Source organism: Homo sapiens, chromosome 21 (genome assembly GCF_000001405.40).
Source record: "Homo sapiens chromosome 21, GRCh38.p14 Primary Assembly".
In the NCBI taxonomy this organism is placed as follows: Eukaryota; Metazoa; Chordata; class Mammalia; order Primates; family Hominidae; genus Homo; species Homo sapiens.
The window spans coordinates 6,856,798-6,875,974 of record NC_000021.9 but is presented as its reverse complement, the minus strand read 5'-3'; the positions used below and the strand labels follow the sequence as shown (position 1 = coordinate 6,875,974).

The window sequence follows — 19,177 nt, the reverse complement described above, 5'->3', positions numbered from 1 at the left end:
TGAGGTCCTGGGAGTGCAGACTGAATATATTTGAGGAAACCTAGGTTCAGACAGGTTAAGTGATTTTTCTCAGTTACACAGCTGTGGATTGCACAGCTTAAAAAATATTATAAAAATTCTTATGAGGATTATAACTGAGAAGTAGGTGTCTTTTTTGCTCACAGAATATTCTATGGCAAATCCTAGACTCAGGTTCTTATAGCCATAGCCCCAGGCTGTGCCAAACATCCACACACACCCACTTTCCCATTCTCTCCAGCAGACCTCATAAGTTATCTTAATATGTAGTCTATGGTCTATTTAGGCACCACCTGCACACAATCATCATTTATCAAATTGCCTAGGCAAACCAACATCGGCTTTGCTATATCTTGGCAAATGTCTCTCCTATATTTAGCCTTTTAGCCACAGTGTGATGATTGGAATGTGTCTTACAGAAAGGAAGCTTTCTCTGAGAGCCATGCAGGGGTGAGGCGGCAAGCCTCTGACGGAGATAACTTCCTGACTTGTGTTTGGCATTTCTCCAAGCTGCTGAAATAGTACTTGAAGTGTTTCATGGACACACGGAGATTTAACACCTGCAAAGTTAAGCCTGACGCCCTAAGGTGGAATGCTGAAACGGCAGAGAGCAGAGCAAGTGTAGGTGAGGATTGCGTTTCACCTTCCTAGTGCCCTCATAGGGTGCGTTGGATTTATGTCTCACTGAGTGAGGCGCCCTCTCCTGGCCGACGATCCCACTGGCTCAGTCACAGCAGGAAAGCGAGAGCTGCAGGTTGCAGAAAGACAGGGCTCCACTCTCAAGGGAAACTGCTGACAATGCCAAAAGTCAGAATCCTTTCACTGTCTCTTTACATCCCAGCTGTCAGACAAGCTAACTTTAAATTTTAACTTAAGCAAGATTGTGTTTTTTATAGAATATTTCAACACAGAGGGCAAATTTCATTCTAATGTGACAAAAGCAGCGTTGGGAAAAGAGTTGGAAATGTGTGCTTTTGAATGTGACCTGAGATATAGCTTCCAAAGCTGGCCATTGCTCTCCTGGCCCAGAGCCTGACCCCATCTCATGACAGGAGAAGCTGAATCTCACGCTCTGTAAGAACCTGGCTTACTCCCTCATTAAATATGAGTCCCTGTTCTCAGAAGTGGATCACTGTAGTTTGAAGGATCAACATTGATCAAACATATCCATTTCTGCCAGTTTTACCCCTCTCTATGCTGTTACTAAACAAGATAAGTTATTCTACAATTTATGTAAGTTATAAAATAGTAATTAAATATTTTGGAATATGTGAAAAAGTAAACTACCAAAATCTCCCTACCTACCTACAGTATTATCATCTTAATGTATTTCCTTTTTTCTCCTTTTATATGCACATTTACACTAAATGTTTATGTGTACATATATATTTTAGCCTATAATACTATTTTATTTTGATTTAACATGTATTTTATTTACTATGTAATATATGACATATAAATATATATTTTATATTATCACCTTATATTTATAGCTTTCTTCTGTAATGTTGATTAATTATTATCAGGAGTAAATTATATTTAGAGAATATGCTGCAGCAATAAAAAGCTTAATAACAAGGAATCTGGACTAAAGTAGAACAGGGTAAGCCCACATCCAATTAAGAAAGCTCTTTGGACACATATATATTCCACCAACAGAGCTACTAAAATGTAACTTACATTCTTAAGCTTTCCATAGTCTGTATACCCATGTTGCCAAAGATACACTACAGTAAGAAAGAAGAGAATTTTATACCTGAAAGATTTTTGCCTGTGCTGGCTTGTAGGGAATATTCTTAAAGACTAGCTTCAACTCTGTCTGTTGTTGTTCCCAATGAATTATCCAAGTATCTAAGAGTTTAGGGTTCATGCTGCCTTCAGCCATTGAGGCCATTCACCTGGTGAGATATGTTTTCCCCAACAAAACATGGAACCCCTGGAGAATATATACGTGTCTGCAGTCATGTTCCATTATGGTTTTGCTTTCAGTTAGCCAATCATATATATAATTCATAGTAAGGGTATCAAGGTCTGTTTTTGTTCCACCAGCAAGCCCATGGCAGTTTGGGAACCAAAGGCATTCAGAGTATCTGAAATCACTCCAATTCCCAGGATGGGTTGAACCTACCTGAGAGCTCTACAGGGCAAAGGCAAGCTGTTCTGTGTCTATTTTTTCCTTAAGCCATTTCATACACACACCTTTGATGAGAGCACCTAAGTGTCATAAAATGCTGACTTTGGACCCAAAGACAGATTACCTTGAAAGAAATGGGCTGGGATTTCCAATTAGCAGCAGAAATTCCAGGAATTTCCAGATTACTTGGCACCCATATTATCAGCTACATATAGGGAGTCTGGACTTGAAAATTCAGGAGCATGGGGGTGCATGGTAGTGAATTCCTGTAATTTTATATTGCCTTGGCATTCATTTTGAATATAAGTTGGACTTTCTCATACAAGAAACATGGTTTAGTCACCCTTGGCACAATTTCCAGTTCTCTATTTCATCCCAGTTCCTTAATATGGTCAATCCAGATATCTCCCTTATACAATTGTCTGCTGTTGACCACCTTCCCTAAGGGACAGTTAGGTACCACCTATTGGCTTACCCCACTGACTCCTCCATCCCCCATAGACTGTACAGATATGCTGCAGCGACAACCTCTCAGTAACAGCGTGGCCACATAGGACTTGGAACAGCTTGCTTTAAACTCGCAAATTAGAACTCCCATGGAAACCCACCTAATAATACCCTGGACTCCAATAAAAGCTTTAGCACACAGGTCCCTCACTCTCTCTTTTGCTCTGCACTTTGTGGTTCTGGTAGAGCATGTATATCTGGAATGGCTCTGCTTTCCCATCAGCTCTGCAAGGAGTGCTGCCCTTTTCTCTAATCTGTAAGTAATAAACTCCTCCTATTATTGTGTGGTTTTTGTTGCATCGCCTCCTCTGCATCTCACCTGACTGACACACCTGAACCTAGTTTCTTTCCAAGGGAAAGCTCTCCTAGACAATGGATATCTTGGTAGAAATAAACTGGACATAGGTCAGACAAGAGCCACGAGGGTGCCTGCTGGTATAAGCATGTTTCCTGTGAGTGGGACACCTGGTCATGGGTTGGACGCTTAGGCACTAGGCAACACTTAGGCATTAGGCCATCCACTAGGATAAAGAAGTCACTGTAGACATCCATGACCCAAATACTGGAGCCCTTTCAGTGCAGGGTTAGAATTCACAGCCATTTTCCAGAGAGAAACCTCAAGACCAAATTAGAAAAACAAAATTCCAGTACTCACCAACAGCCTCCTGCTTTTAGAGAAGGGGGTGCTTGAAACTTCTGATTAGCCTCTCACTCTCTGTCATTTCCCATCTCCCCAGGAGGTAAAATAGCTCACCCCTGCTAGGGAAGGGTAGAAGTGGGGAGAAGCTAGGCAGATGGTTGGCAAGGATTACTTCTCGTATTTCATCCTAATTTGCATTAATGCTCAACTTTGAATCACTCTTTCTGTGTATATAATTTTTTAGTAAAAAAAATTCCTCTTCTTTTCAATTTTGAGCCTGAAATTGTGAACAATTTGATTGCTATTTGTTAGTCACATTAAGATTCTCTTAAAATATACTCACACATTGTTATGTATCTAGCAGGCATATACTAATGTATGTTCTTGTAAAAATATGCCTATGGGTATTTAATGCCAGAGACAATTACTGTATTTCGTTTCAAGTTCAGTCCACAGCATGGGACCTCTTCTGAAAGTGCATGTACAAAAATGATTATGTCTAGTATAGCTCAAAGTATTGTCTTCCATTCTCACTCCTGGAGAATATTACATTTTTCCCCCTCCAGAATTTTGTAATTACTGTAGGGGAAGAAAAATTAAAAGATGCTAAATTTACCAAGTGTAGATCTTTCTTTTTTTTTTTTTTTTCTTCAGTATATATCTCATTTTAATAAGACCACAGTATAGTCTCACCTGACAAAATAAACAATAATTTCTTAATATCATTAAATAACCAGTCTATGTTCACATTTCCAATTAGCTCATAAATATCATACATCATTTTTATTTCTATATTATGGTGATGCAACAGCAAAATTCAGACTGTAGGAAAAACTACAGGATAACTAGTTTTCTTCAATAAGCAGAAAAATGTATAAATTAAAAAAAGAAAGAAAGAAATGTGGAAATATGGATTATAAGAGACTTAAAAGTTATTTCAAACAATCACTGTATGAACTTCATTTGGATCCTGAATACTGGAAATTGTTTAATTCTTTTTTGTGCACTAGGGATGGAGAGTCAAATTACTGTGTCTTCTAAAAGCCCCAGATTTCACTACCACACAATTTATCCATGTAACAATCCTGCACTTGTACCCTCTAAATCTATAAAAATAAAAATTTATTTAAGATATTTTTAAAAACAACAACAATTGTGCCTTAAAGCCATTGGGAAGAGTTCCTCTCTGTGAAGGTGTGCTCCTAACTGAACACACAAGATTTGTAAAAATTGCTTTTTTATTTTTTGTTTTGTAATTACGTAAAATATTTATGCAGCTCAGAAGTCAAGTTTACAAGGCAAATTCACTTCTGTGCCTATTCTCTTTTTTTTTTTTTTTTTTTTTTTTTTTTTTCCTCAGGGATCTAGAACTAGAAATACCATTTGACCCAGCCATCCCATTACTGGGTATATACCCAAAGGACTATAAATCATGCTGCTATAAAGACACATGCACACGTATGTTTATTGTGGCACTATTCACAATAGCAAAGACTTGGAACCAACCCAAATGTCCAACAATGATAGACTGGATTAAGAAAATGTGGCACATATACACCATGGAATACTATGCAGCCATAAAAAATGATGATGAGTTCATGTCCTTTGTAGGGACATGGATGAAATTGGAAACCATCATTCTCAGTAAACTATCGCAAGAACAAAAAACCAAACACCGCATATTCTCACTCATAGGTGGGAATTGAACAATGAGATCACATGGACACAGGAAGGGGAATATCACACTCTGGGGACTGTGGTGGGGTCGGGGGAGGGGGGAGGGATAGCATTGGGAGATATACCTAATGCTAGATGACATGTTAGTGGGTGCAGCGCACCAGCATGGCACATGTATACATATGTAACTAACCTGCACAATGTGCACATGTTCCCTAAAACTTAAGAGTATAATAAAAAAAAAAAACATTAAAAAAAAAAAAAGTGTAGATCTTTCAAAACTTCACAGGTAAAAGTGCCTCAGAAACATTTTTCAAAATGGTTTTGTCAATACTTTAATCAAAGAATTAGCTAAAGACTTGCTGTTTGAATATGAAATTATGTTATTCTCACAAAATCTTTCCCTCTGTGATTAAAAATTGTAATCCTCATGTTCTTGTTTTATTACCTGCTATATATAAAATATATTTAGGGCAGGGCACAGTGGATCATGCCTGTAATCCCAGCACTTTGGGAGACCTAGGCAGGAGGATTATTTGAGCCCAGGAATGGGCTCAAATGCCCAGCCTGGGCAGCACGCAGATACCCCAACTCTCTCTATATGTGTGTGAATAAACTAATGTGAATTTTCTTTCCCTACCTGTACTGGAACAAGTTTAAAAGTCCTACATACATACGGGAAACATTAAGAAATGTAAGTCATTATCATCATCATGGTCATCTTCATCAAACACTCATTTGGCTGGTGGGAAACAGATTCAAATTCATTTCTGTTTGACATCTGAATTCAAGACATTCACATCTTGAAAGTTTAATCCTTATCCTTTACTGCCTCATGTATTCTATGTAACCAAGAGAGATGATGGGCTTGTATTTATTTGCGCCTTTTCTTTGGTTCTACATGGGCAACTATTTGTCTTCTACATAAAACTTTATTTATCCTGAGCCAGTCTGGATAGGCTTGTGTTCCTGAATATTGAGAGTTCTCTGAGTAAATGCTCTCTCTAGATAATTTTATCCTATATCATAGGTTTTAATCTTACCCAAATGCTGGTTATTTCTAAACTAACACATCCAGCCTTGACCTCCCCTCTGTGTCCAGATTCAGATACTTGACTGCCAAATTAACACCTCCTCTGGGATATCTGAGAAGCATTCTGAATTTAACCACTCAAAACAGAAACTTTGATTCCTCCCTGCCCCAAATATGATGCTCCCCCTCACTTCCAGTCTTAGTGGAAATATCATCTCTAACTATCCAGTGGCTCTGGCCCTCAATTTAAAAATCAGCCTGGATTCCCTATGTTTTACACACTCCAAATCCATTCTATTGGCAAAGCCTGTCAACTTTACCTTCACAACACATCCTAAATCGAGTTCTCACCTTTTTTGTAGATACTACCCGAGGCCATGTTTCCGTTATCTCTCTTCTAAATTACAGCAGTCATTTCTGATTGTTCCCTCTATTTCCATTACTTTTTTTTTTTCCAACCCAATCCCAGCTATTTTCCAAACAGGAGCCAGAATGATTCTTTCAAAAACGTAGATCAGATCACATCATTTCCTGCTCAAATTCTACAACAGATTTTCACCACATGAAACAAATCCATAAGTCTTCACCATTATCTCCCAGGCCACAGGGAATCTAGGCCCTGCTTATCTTTTGTATCTGTTACTTACTACTTTTCCCTCTGCCACTCTATATCACTTTGGCACTATTTTTCTTGCTGTTTATTAAACCTCCCAGCTCTTGCAGCCTTAAGGCTTCTGATTGGCTATTCCCTCTTGCATCAGATATTGGTGTGGTTCTTTCATCATTTCTTTCACTTCTGAGCCTTCTCTCCAACAATACTCTCTACACACACACATTGTGTCATTCTATATTCAACCACACTTTATTTTTTCCACATAGCCCTTATCACAACCTAACACTATATTATGCATTTGCTTCTTAACTTGCTGTTTTTTTCATTAGACTGGACACTCCACAGGGGCAGAGATTTCACCAATTTTGCTCATCCTTGTATTAAAAACATTTTTTAAAGTGCCTGGCACACAGTAGGTTCTAAAAATAAGTGTTGAATTTTACCATTATGCTTTTAATATTTTTTCCAAAATAGGTTTTTATGCTCTGTATTCTTAGATTATGCTGAACACCATCGTCTTTAAGATTTGCAGCATTTGTTAGAAATGCTGGTTGTGTTGCTCTGTTAGAAAGTACAGATCTAAGACCGGGCATGGTGGCTCATGCCTGTAATCCCAGCACTTTAGGAGGCTGAGACGGGCGGTTCATGAGGTCAGGAATTTGAGACCAGCCTGGCCAGCATGGTGAAACCCCATCTCTACTAAAAATACAAAAAATTAGCTGGGCATGGTGGCACATGCATGTAATCCCAGCTACTCGAGAGGCTGAGGAAGGAGAATCACTTGACCCCAGGAGGCGGAGGTTGCAGTGAGCTGAGATCACGCCATCGCACTCCAGCCTTGGTGACAGAGAGAGACTCTGTCTCAAAAAAAAAAAAAAAAGTACAGATATAAGAAGAGTATGATAAAAGTGTGGGAGGCATCTGTTGAATATGGCTTTAGTTCTCATTTTGAACATAATGTAACAGTCACAGTACATTAATGGCTTCCCTACTTTTTTTTAAAGCATTACTTATTACATTACTCATATTTTTCTTTCATATCTCTTACATCTTACATCTTATTCCATGAAATAAGTGCATTCCTGTTGAATGTTCATTCACACTTCAAAATGCAGGTAATATGTTAGCTTCATCAGCACTCACAGTTATAAATTTTCCCTTGTCTTCCAATATATAGGTAATTATATACAATCTTACTATAAAATTTATTATGTTATTGCAATCTGATTATTAAACTAGATTTAGTGAGATGAAAGCAGAAAAGATAGCTACTCACTTTGTCCACTAAATTTGTTTTTTTTATTATTAGACTTTAAGTTCTACGGTACATTTGCACAAAGTGCAGGTTTGTTAAATAGGTATACATGTGCCACGTTGGTTTGCTGCACCCATCAACTCATCATTTACATTAGGTATTTCTCCTAATGCTATCCCTCTCCCAGCTGCCCACCCCCCAATAGGCCCCGGTGTGTGATGTTCCCCTTCCTATGTCCATGTGTTCTCATTGTTCAATTCCCACCTATGAGTGAGAACATGCAGTGTTTGGTTTTCTGTCCTTGTGATAGTTTGCTGAGAATGATGGTTTCCAGCTTCATCCATGTCTCTACAAAGAACATGAACTCATCCTTTTTTATGACTACATAGTATTCCATGGTGTATATGTGCCACATTTTCTTAACCCAGGCTATCACTGATGGACATTTGGGTTGGTTCCAAGTCTTTGCTATTGTGAAGAGTGCCGCAATAAACATACGTGTGTATGTGTCTTTACAGTAGCATGATTTATAATCCTTTGGGTATATACCCGGTAATGGGATTGCTGGATCAAATGTTATTTCTAGTTCTGGATCCTTGAGGAATCACCAATCACCACACTGTCTTCCCCAATGGTTAAACTCATTTACACTCCCACCAACAGTGTAAAAGCTTTCCTATTTCTCCACATCCTCTCCAGCATCTGTTGTTTCCTAACTTTTTAATGGTTGCCATTCTAACTGGCATGAGATGGTATCTCATTGTTGTTTTGATTTGCATTTCTCTGATGACCAGTAATGATGAGCATTTTTTCATGTGTCTGTTGGCTGCATAAATGTCTCTTTTGAGAACTGTCTGTTCATATCCTTTGCCCACTTTTTGATGGGGTTGTTTTTTTTCTTGTAAATTTGTTTGAGTTCTTTGTAGATTCCGGATATTAGCCCTTCGTCAGATAGGTAGATTGCAAAATTTTCACCCAATATGTAGGTTGCCTGTTCACTCTGATGATATTTCTTTTGCTGTGCAGAAGCTCTTTAGTTTAATTAGATCCCATTTGTCTATTTTGGCTTTTGTTGCCATTGCTTTTGGTGTTTTAGTCATGAAGTCTTTGCCCTTGCCTATGTCCTGAATGGTATTGTCTAGGTTTTCTTCTAGGGTTTTTATAGTTTTTAGGTCTAACGTTTAAGTTTTTAATCCATCTTGAGTTAATTTTTGTATAAGGTGTAAGAAAGGGACCCAGTTTCAGCTTTCTATATATGGCTAGCCAGTTTTCCTAACACCATTTATTAAATAGGGAATTTTTTCCCTGTTGCTTGTTTTTGTCAGGTTTGCCATGATCAGATGGTTGTAGATGTGTGGTGTTACTTCTGAGGCCTCTTTTCTGTTCCATTGGTCTATATAACCTGTTTTGGTAACAGTACCATGCTGTTTTGGTTACGGTAGCCTTGCAGTATTGTTTGAAGTCAGGTAGCGTGAGGCCTCCAGCTTTGCTCTGTTTGCTTAGGATTGTCTTGGCTAGGTGGGCTCTTTTTTGGTTCCATATGAACTTTAAAATAGTTTTTCCAATGCTGTGAAAAAAGTCATTGGTAGCTTGATGGGGATGGCATTGAATCTGTAAATTACCTTGGGCAGTATGGCCATTTTCATGATATTGATTCTTCCTATCCATGACCATGGAATGTTCTTCCATTTGTTTTTGTCCTCTTTTATTTCATTGAGCAGTGGTTTGTAGTTCTCCTTGAAGAGGTCCTTCACATCCCTTGTAAGTTGGATTCCTAGGTATTTTATTCTCTTTGTAACAATTGTGAATGGGAGTTCACTCATGATTTGGCTCTCTGTTTGTCTGTTACTGGTTTATAGTATCGGGGGAACCAGCCCCCAATATTTCAATGTAGGTTCTATTTTCCCTAAGTGTCGGCTGGCCTGAGAAATAAAGAAAAAGAGTACAAAGACAGGAATTTTACAGCTGGGCCTCTGGGGGTGACATCACATAACAATAGGTCCGTGATGTCCCCCTGAGCCACAAAACCAGCCGGTTTTTATTAAGGACTTTAAAAGGGGAGAGCATGTATGAACAGGGAGTATATCACGAAGATCACATGCTTTAAAGGGCAATAAAGATCACAAGGCAAAGGGCAAAATTAGAGTTACTGATGAGGGTCTATGTTCAGCTGTGCACATATTGTCTTGATAAACATCTTAAACAACAGAAAACAGGGTTTGAGAGCAGAGAACTGGTCTGACCTCAAACTTACCAGGGCGGGATCTTTTCCCCACCCTAATAAGCCTGAGGGTACTGCAGGAGACCAGGGCGTATTTCAGTCCTTATCTCAACCGCATAAGACAGACACTCCCAGAGCAGCTGTTTATAGACCTCCCCCCAGGAATCCATTCCTTCCCCAGGGTATCAATTATTAATATTCTTTGCTGGGAAAAGAATTCAGCGATATCTCTCCTACTTGCACATCTGTTTATAGGCTCTCTGCAAGAAGAAAAATATGGCTCTATTCTGCCTGACCCCGCAGGCAGTCAGACCTTTGGTTGTCTTCCCTTCTTCCCTAAAATCGCTGTTATTCTGTTCGTTTTCAAGGTGCACTGATTTCATATTGTTCAAACGCCCATGTTTTACAATCAGATTTCATATTGTTCAAACACACATATTCTACAATCAATTTGTACAATAGTGGTCCTGAGGTGATGTACATTTTCAGCTTAGGAAGATAACAGAATTAAGAGATTAAAGTAAAGACTGGCATAAGAAATTCAAAGAGTACTATTTGGGAACTGATAAATGTCCCTGAAATCGTCACAATTTATGTTCAGAGATTGCAGTATAGACAGGTGTTAGAAATTATAAACGTATTAATTTTGGGAACAGATAAATGTCCATGAAATCTTCACAATTTATGTTCCTCTGCTGCGGCTCCAGCCGGTCCCTCTGTTTGGGGTCCCTGACTTCCGGCAACATTATAGGAATGCTTATGATTTTTGCACATTGATTTTGTATCCTGAGACTTTGCTGAAGTTGCTTATCAGCTTAAGGAGATTTTCGGCTGAGACGGTGGGGTTTTCTAAATATACAATCATGTCATCTGCAAATAGGGACAATTGGACTTCCTAATTTCCTAATTGAATACCCTTTATTTCTTTCTCTTGCCTGATTGCCCTGGCCAGGACTTCCAACACTATGTTGAACATGAGTGGTGAGAGAGGGCATCCTTGTCTTGTGGTGGTTTTCAAAGGGAATGCTTCCAGCTTTTGCCCATTCGATATGGTGTTGGCTGTGGGTTTTAAATATCTCTTATTATTTTGAGATACATTCCATCAATACCTAGTTTATTGAGAGTTTTTAGCATGAAGGGCTGTTGAATTTTGTCGAAGGCCTTTTCTGCATCTATTGAGATAATCATGTGGTTTTTGTCATTGGTTCTGTTTAAGTGATGGATTACATTTATTAATTTGTGTACGTTGAACCAGCCTTGCATCCCAGGGATGAAGCCCACTTGATCATGGTGGATAAGCTTTTTGATGTGCTGCTGGATTTGGTTTGCCAGTATTTTATTGAGGATTTTGGCACTGATGTTCATCAGGGATATTGGTCTAAATTTCTCTTTTTTTGTTGTGTCTCTGCCAGGCTTTGGTATCAGGATGATGTTGGCCTCATAAAATGAGTTAGGGAGGATTCCCTCTTTTTCTATTGATTGGAATAGTTTCAGAAGGCATGGTACCAGCTCCTCTTTGTACCTCTGGTAGAATTCAGCTGTGAATCCATCTGGTCTTGGACTTTTTTTGGTTGGTATGCTATTAATTATTGCCTCAATTTCAGAACCTGTTATTGGTGTATTCAGAGATTCAACTTCTTCCTAGTTCTGTCTTGGGAGGGTGTGTATGTCCAGGAATTTATCCATTTCTTCTAGATTTTCTAGTTTATTTGCATAGAGGTGTTTATAGTATTCTCTGATGGTAGTTCATATTTCTGTGAGATTGGTGGTGATATCCCCTTTATCATTTTTATTGAGCATATTTGATTCTTCTCTCTTTTCTTCTTTATTAGTCTTGCTAGCAGTCTATCTATTGTTGATCTTTTCAAAAAACCACCTCCTGGATTCATTGATTTTTGGAACGGTTTTTTGTATCTCCATCTCCTTCAGTTCTGCTCTGATCTTAGTTATTTCTTGCCTTCTGCTAGCTTTTGAATTTGTTTACTCTGGCTTCTCCAGTTCTTTTAATTTTGATGTTAGGCTGTTGATTTTAGATCTTTCCTGCTTTCTCTTGTGGGCATTTAGTACGATAAATTTCCCTCTACATACTGCTTTACATGTGTCCCAGAGATTCTGGTATGTTGTTTCAAAGAACATATTTATTTCTGCCTTCATTTCATTTTTTATCCAGTAGTCACTCAGGAACAGGTTCTTCAGTTACCATGTCATTGTGTAGTTTTGAGTGAGTTTCTTAATCCTGAGTTCTAATTTGATGGCACTGTGGTCTGACAGACAGTTTGTTGTGATTTCTGTACTTTTACATTTGCTGAGGAATGTTTCACCTCCAATTATGTGGTCAATTTTAGAATAAGTGTGATGTGGTGCTGAGAAGAATATATATTCTATTGAGTTGGGGTGGAGAATTCTGTAGATATCTATTTAGGTCCATGTGGTGCAGAGCTGAGTTCACATCCTGGATATCCTTGCTAAACTTCTGTCTCATTGATCTACTATTGAGATTGGGGTGTTGAAGTCTCCCATTATTATTGCATCGGAGTCTAAGTCTCTTTGTAGGTCTCTAAGGACTTGCTTTATGAATCTGGGTGCTCCTGTATTAGGTGCATATATATTTAGAATAGTTAGCTCTTCTTGTTCAATTGATCCCTTTACCATTATGTAATGACCTTGTCTCTTTCGATCTTTGTTGGTTTAGTCTGTTTTATCAGAGATTAGGATGGCAACCCCTGCTTTTTTTGCTTTCCATTTGCTTGGTAGATCTTCCTCCATCCCTTTATTTTGAGCCTATGTGTGTCTCTGCATGTGAAATGGGCCTCCTGAATACAGCACACTGATGGTTTTGACTGTTTATCCAATTTGCAAGTCTGTGTCTTTTAATTGGGGCATTTTGCCCATTTACATTTAATAGTGTTATGTGTGAATTTGATCCTGTCATTATTATGTTTGCTGGTTACTTTACCCCTTAGTTGATGTAATTTCTTCATAGTGTAGATGGCCTTTGCAATTTGGCATGTTTTTGCAGTGGCTGGTACTGATTGTTCATTTCCATGTTTATTGCTTCCTTCAGGACCTCTTGTAAGGCAGGCCTGATGGTGACAAAATCTCTCAGCATTTGCTTGTATGTAAAGGATTTTATTTATCCTTCACTTATGATGCGTAGTTTGGCTGGATATGAAATTCTGGGTTGAAAATTCTTTTCTTTAAGAATGTTGGATATTGGCCCCCACTCTTCTGGCCTGTAGGGTTTCTGCTGAGACATCCGCTGTTAGTCTGATGGTTTTCTCTTTGTGGGTAACCCGACCTTTCTCTCTGGCTGCCCTTAACATTTTTTCCTTCATTTCAACCTTGGTGAATCTGACAATTATGTGTCTTGGAGTTGCTCTTCTCGTGGAGTATCTTTGTTGTATTCTCTGTATTTCCTGAATTTGCATGTTGGCCTGCCTTGCCAGGTTGGGGAAATTCTCCTGGATAATATCCTGAAGAATATTTTCTAACTTGGTTCCATTCTCCCTGTCACTTTCAGGTACACCAATCAAATGTAGATTTGGTCTATTCACATAGTCCCATATTTTTTGGAGGCTTTGTTCATTTCTTTCTACTCTTTTTTCTCTAATCTTGTCTTCTCACTTTATTTCATTAATTTGATCTTCAATCACTGATATCCTTTCTTCCACTTGATTGAATCAGCTATTGATGCTTGTGCATGCGTCACGAAGTTCTCATGCTGTGGTTTTCATCTCCATCAGGTCATTTAAGGTCTTCTTTACACTATTTATTCTAGTTAGCCATTCATCTAACCTGTTTTCAAGAGTTTTAGCTTCCTTCCAGTGGGTTAGAACATGCTCCTTTAGCTCAGAGAAGTTTGTTATTACCGACCTTCTGAAGCCTACTTCTGTCAATTCATCAAAGTCATTCTCTGTCCAGTTTTGTTCTGTTGCTGGTGAGGAGCTGCGATCCTTTGGACAAGAAGAAGTGCTTAGGTTTTTGGAATTTTCATCTTTTCTGCTCTGGTTTCTCCCCATCTTTGTGATTTTATCTACCTTTGGTCTTTGATGTTGGTGACCTACAGATGGGGTTTTAATGTGGATGTCCTTTTTGTTGATATTGATGCTATTCCTTTCTGTTTGTTAGTTTTCCTTCTAACAGGCCTCTCAGCTGCATGTCTGTTGGAGTTTGCTGGAGGTCCACTCCAGACCCTGTTTGCCTGGGCATCACCAGCAGAGGCTGCAGAAGAGCAAGTATTGCTGCCTGATCCTTCCTCTGGAAGCTTCATCGCAGAGGGGCACCCACCTGTATGAGGTATCTGTCGGCCCCTACTGGGAGATGTCTCCCAGTCAGGCTATACGGGGATCAGGGGCCCCCTTAAGGAGGCAGTCTGTCCATTCTCAGAGTTCCAACACCATGCTGGAAGAACCACTTCTCTCTCAGAGCTGTCAGACAGGGATGTTTAAGTCTGAAGAAGTTGTCTGCTGCCTTTTGTTCAGCTATGCCCTGTCCAAAGAGGTGGAGCCTATAGAGGCAGTAGGCATTGTTGAGCTGTGGTGGGCTCCACCCAGTTTGAGCTTTCTGGCTGCTTTCTTTACCTACTGAAGCCTCAGCAATAGCAGACCCCCCTCCCTCCACCCGGCTGCAGCCTCTCAGGTCAATCTCAGATTGCTGTGCTAGCAGTGAGCAAGGCTCCATGGGCGTGGGATCCACTGAGCCAGACATGGGAGGGAATCTCCTGGTCTGCTGGTTGCTAAGACCATGGGAAAAGCACAGTATTTAGGCAGAAGTGTACCATTTTTCCAAGTACAGTCTGTCACAGCTTCCCTTGGATAGGTAAAGGAAATCTCCTGACCCCTTGCATTTCCCGGATGAGGTGACACACTGCCCTGCTTCAACTCACCCTCTGTGGGCTGCACCCACTGTCCAACCAGTGCCAATGATGATGAACCAGGTACCTCATTTGGAAATGCAGAAATCACCTGTTTTCTGTGTTGGTCTCACTGGGAGCTGCAGATCGGAGCTGTTCCTATTCGGCCATCTTCTATCCACTAACCTTCAAATTCTCACACCCGGAGGTTAGTTTCAGAAGATCATAGAATTTGTCATTGTGTTCAGGTACTTAGTATCTCATCTTTAAATAATAAAAAAGCATTGTCTGACACTGTTTTAAAACTATATTTAGAAATACCAAGAATTTAATAGCCAAGATAACTTTGAAAAAGAACAAAGGTTGAGGATTTACATGATTAAACATCAAAACTTGGTATAAAGCTAAAGTAAATCAAATAGTAAGGTATTAGAACAAGCATGGACACCTAGAATAATAAAACAGAAAACAGATCAGAAACAGACCTTTCTATATACAGTCACCTGATTTTTGACAAAAGCACTACTACAATTTAGTGTGAGGAATGGCCTTTTCAATAAAAGGTGCTGGATCAACTGGATATCTATGAGGAAAAATTTATTTTGACCCCTCCTCAAACCCTATACAAAAGTGAGTTTGTGATTTGAAAAAATCACATCAACTAGATCTGAGACCCTGCTGAGAAATGTAAAATAATGTAACCTCTTAAAAAAGAATGTAGGACATTATTTTTATAATGTTGGGATAGGCAATGATTTTCCAAATTGTACATAACTATAACTAACCATAATTGATAAATTAAACTTTCATAAAATTAACAATTTCTGTTCATCAAAAGACACCATTTAGAGAGTGAAAAGCCAAGCCACACACTGGGGAAAATTACTAAAAATACAAAAATTAGCCGGGTGTGGTGGCACACACCTGTAATCCCAGCTACTTGGGAGGCTGAGGGGAGAATCGATTGAACTCGGGCAGCAGTGGTTGCAGTAGCCGAGATTGCACCATTGCACTCCAGCCTGGGAAACAAGAGTGACACTTGATCTCAAAACAACAAGAACAAAAAAGACTTAGCACTTATTACGTAGTCATTGCTTCCATTTGTGTATATTGACATATACACAAATGAAATACATATTACATTTATAGTAATATGTATTTCAATACATATTACTATATATGTAATTTTATATATAAATTAAAATTTATATATAATAAATTTTTACTTATATATTTAATAAATATATGTAATTATATATATTTGTATATATACAAATATATAATATTAATACATTTATTATATTATATATAATAAATGTATTATTGCTGCTATCTATAAACACACACTGTGTTGCTATTACTCCTGTAATCCCAGATGGGAAGGGATTTACTGTGAGAAAGTTGAACCTCAACTGGAAAAGTATATGGTTTTGGGGTTTTGTTTGTTTGGGTTGTGGAAAAATAGATGTCAGAAAACAAAGTGGATATCAAGATACTAGAACAGTAAGAATTTAGGTCTGGGTCTGGAAACGACATTCGAACATCAATATGTAATAGTAGTTCATGTCCAAAACTCACAAGTGAGATTATCAAACTCCAGGGGAGTCTATTAATGTGGCCATAAAATCTACCCCATAATTTTGACATAATTTTTCCAGCCCAAAATACAACTGACATCATCTTATGGGTCCGGAAGTGCCATACACCAAGCAAAATTTCTACCGGAGAAATAACACCGTAATCGTTTGGGGAGCAGCCTGACCAGTGTTCCCTGAGTTACGCCGACCGCCCCCAACCATCCTTCTCACCTAATTATTACCAGGTCAGGAAGATGTCCTGCTGCACGCTCAGGCGGTCACTCCTCCTTTCCACAAGGCCCATGTCCGCACCGTTCGCCCCGGGGCTCCCATGGCCCCCGACCTCCAGTCTCCGGCAACGATGGACCCTCACAGACACGGCAGGGAGCGAAGGGCGCACACTCACCTCCCTGGAGTCAGTGGGAATAACCCCGGGCGCTCTGAGGGTACGTCCCACACCCGGAGCCGCACGGGCCCATCCCCGCCAGGTCCGGGCAGGCAGCCCGAGCCCGGGACCCCGCCTCCCCCGCACCTAGGGTCCGGGCCGAGCTTGGCAGCTGAGGTCCCGCTCCCACTCCCACTCCCAGCGCCTCCCCCTGGCGGCGGCGGCCGCCTGGGAGGCCCCTCCCCGGGCGCTGCCTCCTCAGAGGGTGACGGCCGCCTGGCCGGGCCGGACAGAGGCCGGCCCCTCTTCCAGCTCCTCCTCACCCCCCGGAGGAGACGGGGGACGGGGATGGGGTTCTAACCAGGCAGCAGGACACAGCAAGGCCAGCCACGGCACAGCCTCCTCCTCCACCATCTCACCAGGCTCCCTGCCAGGGCCGGCGCAGGGCAGCGCCTGAGCTACTAGGGAGTCTGGTCCGGCTGCTGCTCCGCCGCCGCCGCCGCCTTCTCACAGCCACAACAACACTGCAGCAGCGACCACACAGAGCGCGCTCCCGACGCCGAGCCGGGCGACGAGCGGGGACGCGCTCGCACGCTCGGGCGCTGAACCCGGTGTCCGGGGAAGGGGGCGGGTCTCCGCGGGTTGGACGGGGGCGGGGCCTGGACAGGTGGTCACGCCCCAGGAGATGGGAGGGGCTGCAGCCCAGACGAATACCTGCGGCTGGGGAGAGGCTCGCGAAAAAGACGAGCGGAGGCAGAAGGGCTAGACAGATGGGAATTGGGCGCAGGAAAAGCGATGACAAAAAAAATATCTGGAAGAAAACCAAAGGTGGTCCTACAAATTTTTAGGAGGCGTCTTTCCCTGGGGAAGACATGGCTCACTCTACTTACCAGAAAAATAGAACAACAGTGGTATCTTTCACCTGCAATTGTGGTCAGGATAAAACCAGTTTAATATAGTGCAAGTAAATGTAGTGTTTTAGAAGATGTATTCAGAATACAATTTCGTTTTTTCTTTTCTTTTTTTTTTTTCTTTTTTTCTTTTGAGACAGAGTCTGGCTCTGTCTCCCAGGCTGGAATGCAGTGACATCTCAGCTCACTGCAAACTCCGCCTCCTGGGCTCAAGCGATCCTCCCACCTCAGCCTCCTGAGTAGCTGGGACTACAGGCGCAGAACATCATGCCCGGCTAATTTTTGTATTTTTTGTAGACATGGAGTTTCTGCCATTTTGTCCAGGCTGGTCTCGAACTCCTGGGCTCAAGCAATCCACCCACCTCGGCCTCCCAAAGCACTGGGATTACAGGCATGAAGCACCGCACTCGATCCAGAATACAATTTCAAACTGATTCAACTTCAGCTCCTAATCAAAAGCTTAGCGGGAAGAAGTGAATTTTCAAACAAAATAAAGCCCTCCCCCCAAAATTGTAACCTACCCACACTAGCCTGCGGAATTCCACAAACCAGGATTGCATTACCGTAGGCCCTAACAGATTCACCTCTGAGTTGCCTTTTAACATTCTACCCTTGATTTTTCTGGAAACTGGGAGAACTAGTCAAATGAAATCTATTCCTGCATCTGTTGTAAAGTTTTTCCACAGCACTTTCTGAAATTTATTTTCAATGTTTATTGTTTTTTCACTCCACTTAGAATGTAAAAGCTACTTGAAGATGAGGATCTTGTTTGTCTTGTTCATCACTATTTCCCCAGCACCTGAAACTGTGCAGGCTAAGTAGTAGGCAGTCGGATTTCTTGATAGCTGGCTGGGCGCAGTGACCCACGGCTGTAATCCCAGCACTTTGAGAGGCTGAGGCGGGTGGATCACCAGAGGTCAGGTGTTCGAGACCAGCCTGGCCAATATGGTGAAAACCCGGATCTACTAAAAATGCAAAAATTAGCCGGGCATGATGGCAGGCGCCTGTAATCCCAGCTAATTGGGAGGCTGAGGCAGGAGAATAGCTTGAACCCGGGAGGCGGAGGTTGCCATGGGCCAAGATTGCGTCACTGCACTCCAGCCTGGGCGCAGAGCGAGACTCTGTCTCAAAAAAATAAATAAAATAAAATAACAGCTAACACTTATTCATACAACTCATCTAATTGAATCTTCACAACTTTAATAGGTAGACGCCGTTATCTCCATGTTACAGATGAAGAAAGTGAAGCACAGAATAAATTGCACGTATTAAAATTCAAACCCAAACCCAGAAGACAAACAAAACAAAACAAAACAAAAAAAACCACTGTGCTCTCACCCACCAGGCTGTACTG

General features: G+C 40.8%; 1 long non-coding RNA gene and 1 other non-coding gene across 4 annotated transcripts in view, besides 1 other annotated feature; both read right to left on the bottom strand.

Annotated features, from left to right (window-relative positions):
- LOC110091777 (uncharacterized) overlaps window positions 1-17,525 on the bottom strand; it is a 43,040-nt gene extending 25,515 nt beyond the window's left edge. The window contains exons 1-3 of one of the 3 annotated variants that reach the window (NR_146656.1): window positions 17,274-17,525; window positions 16,759-16,937; window positions 15,875-15,969 (exon numbers count right to left, since the gene is read on the bottom strand). This is a non-coding gene — a long non-coding RNA (uncharacterized LOC110091777). The remainder of the gene's footprint in view (window positions 1-15,874; window positions 15,970-16,758; window positions 16,938-17,273) is intronic. The other 2 variants (NR_146657.1, NR_146655.1) reach the window with 2 other exon arrangements.
- Window positions 1-19,177: part of a sequence alteration artifact (region identified as an assembly artifact by the Genome Reference Consortium. This region falsely duplicates sequence located at GRCh38 chr21:13654079-13799312) that runs on past both edges of the window.
- Window positions 16,719-16,804, bottom strand: MIR8069-1 (microRNA 8069-1). Its single transcript, NR_107036.1, has one exon. It is a non-coding gene; the product is annotated as a microRNA 8069-1 (primary transcript).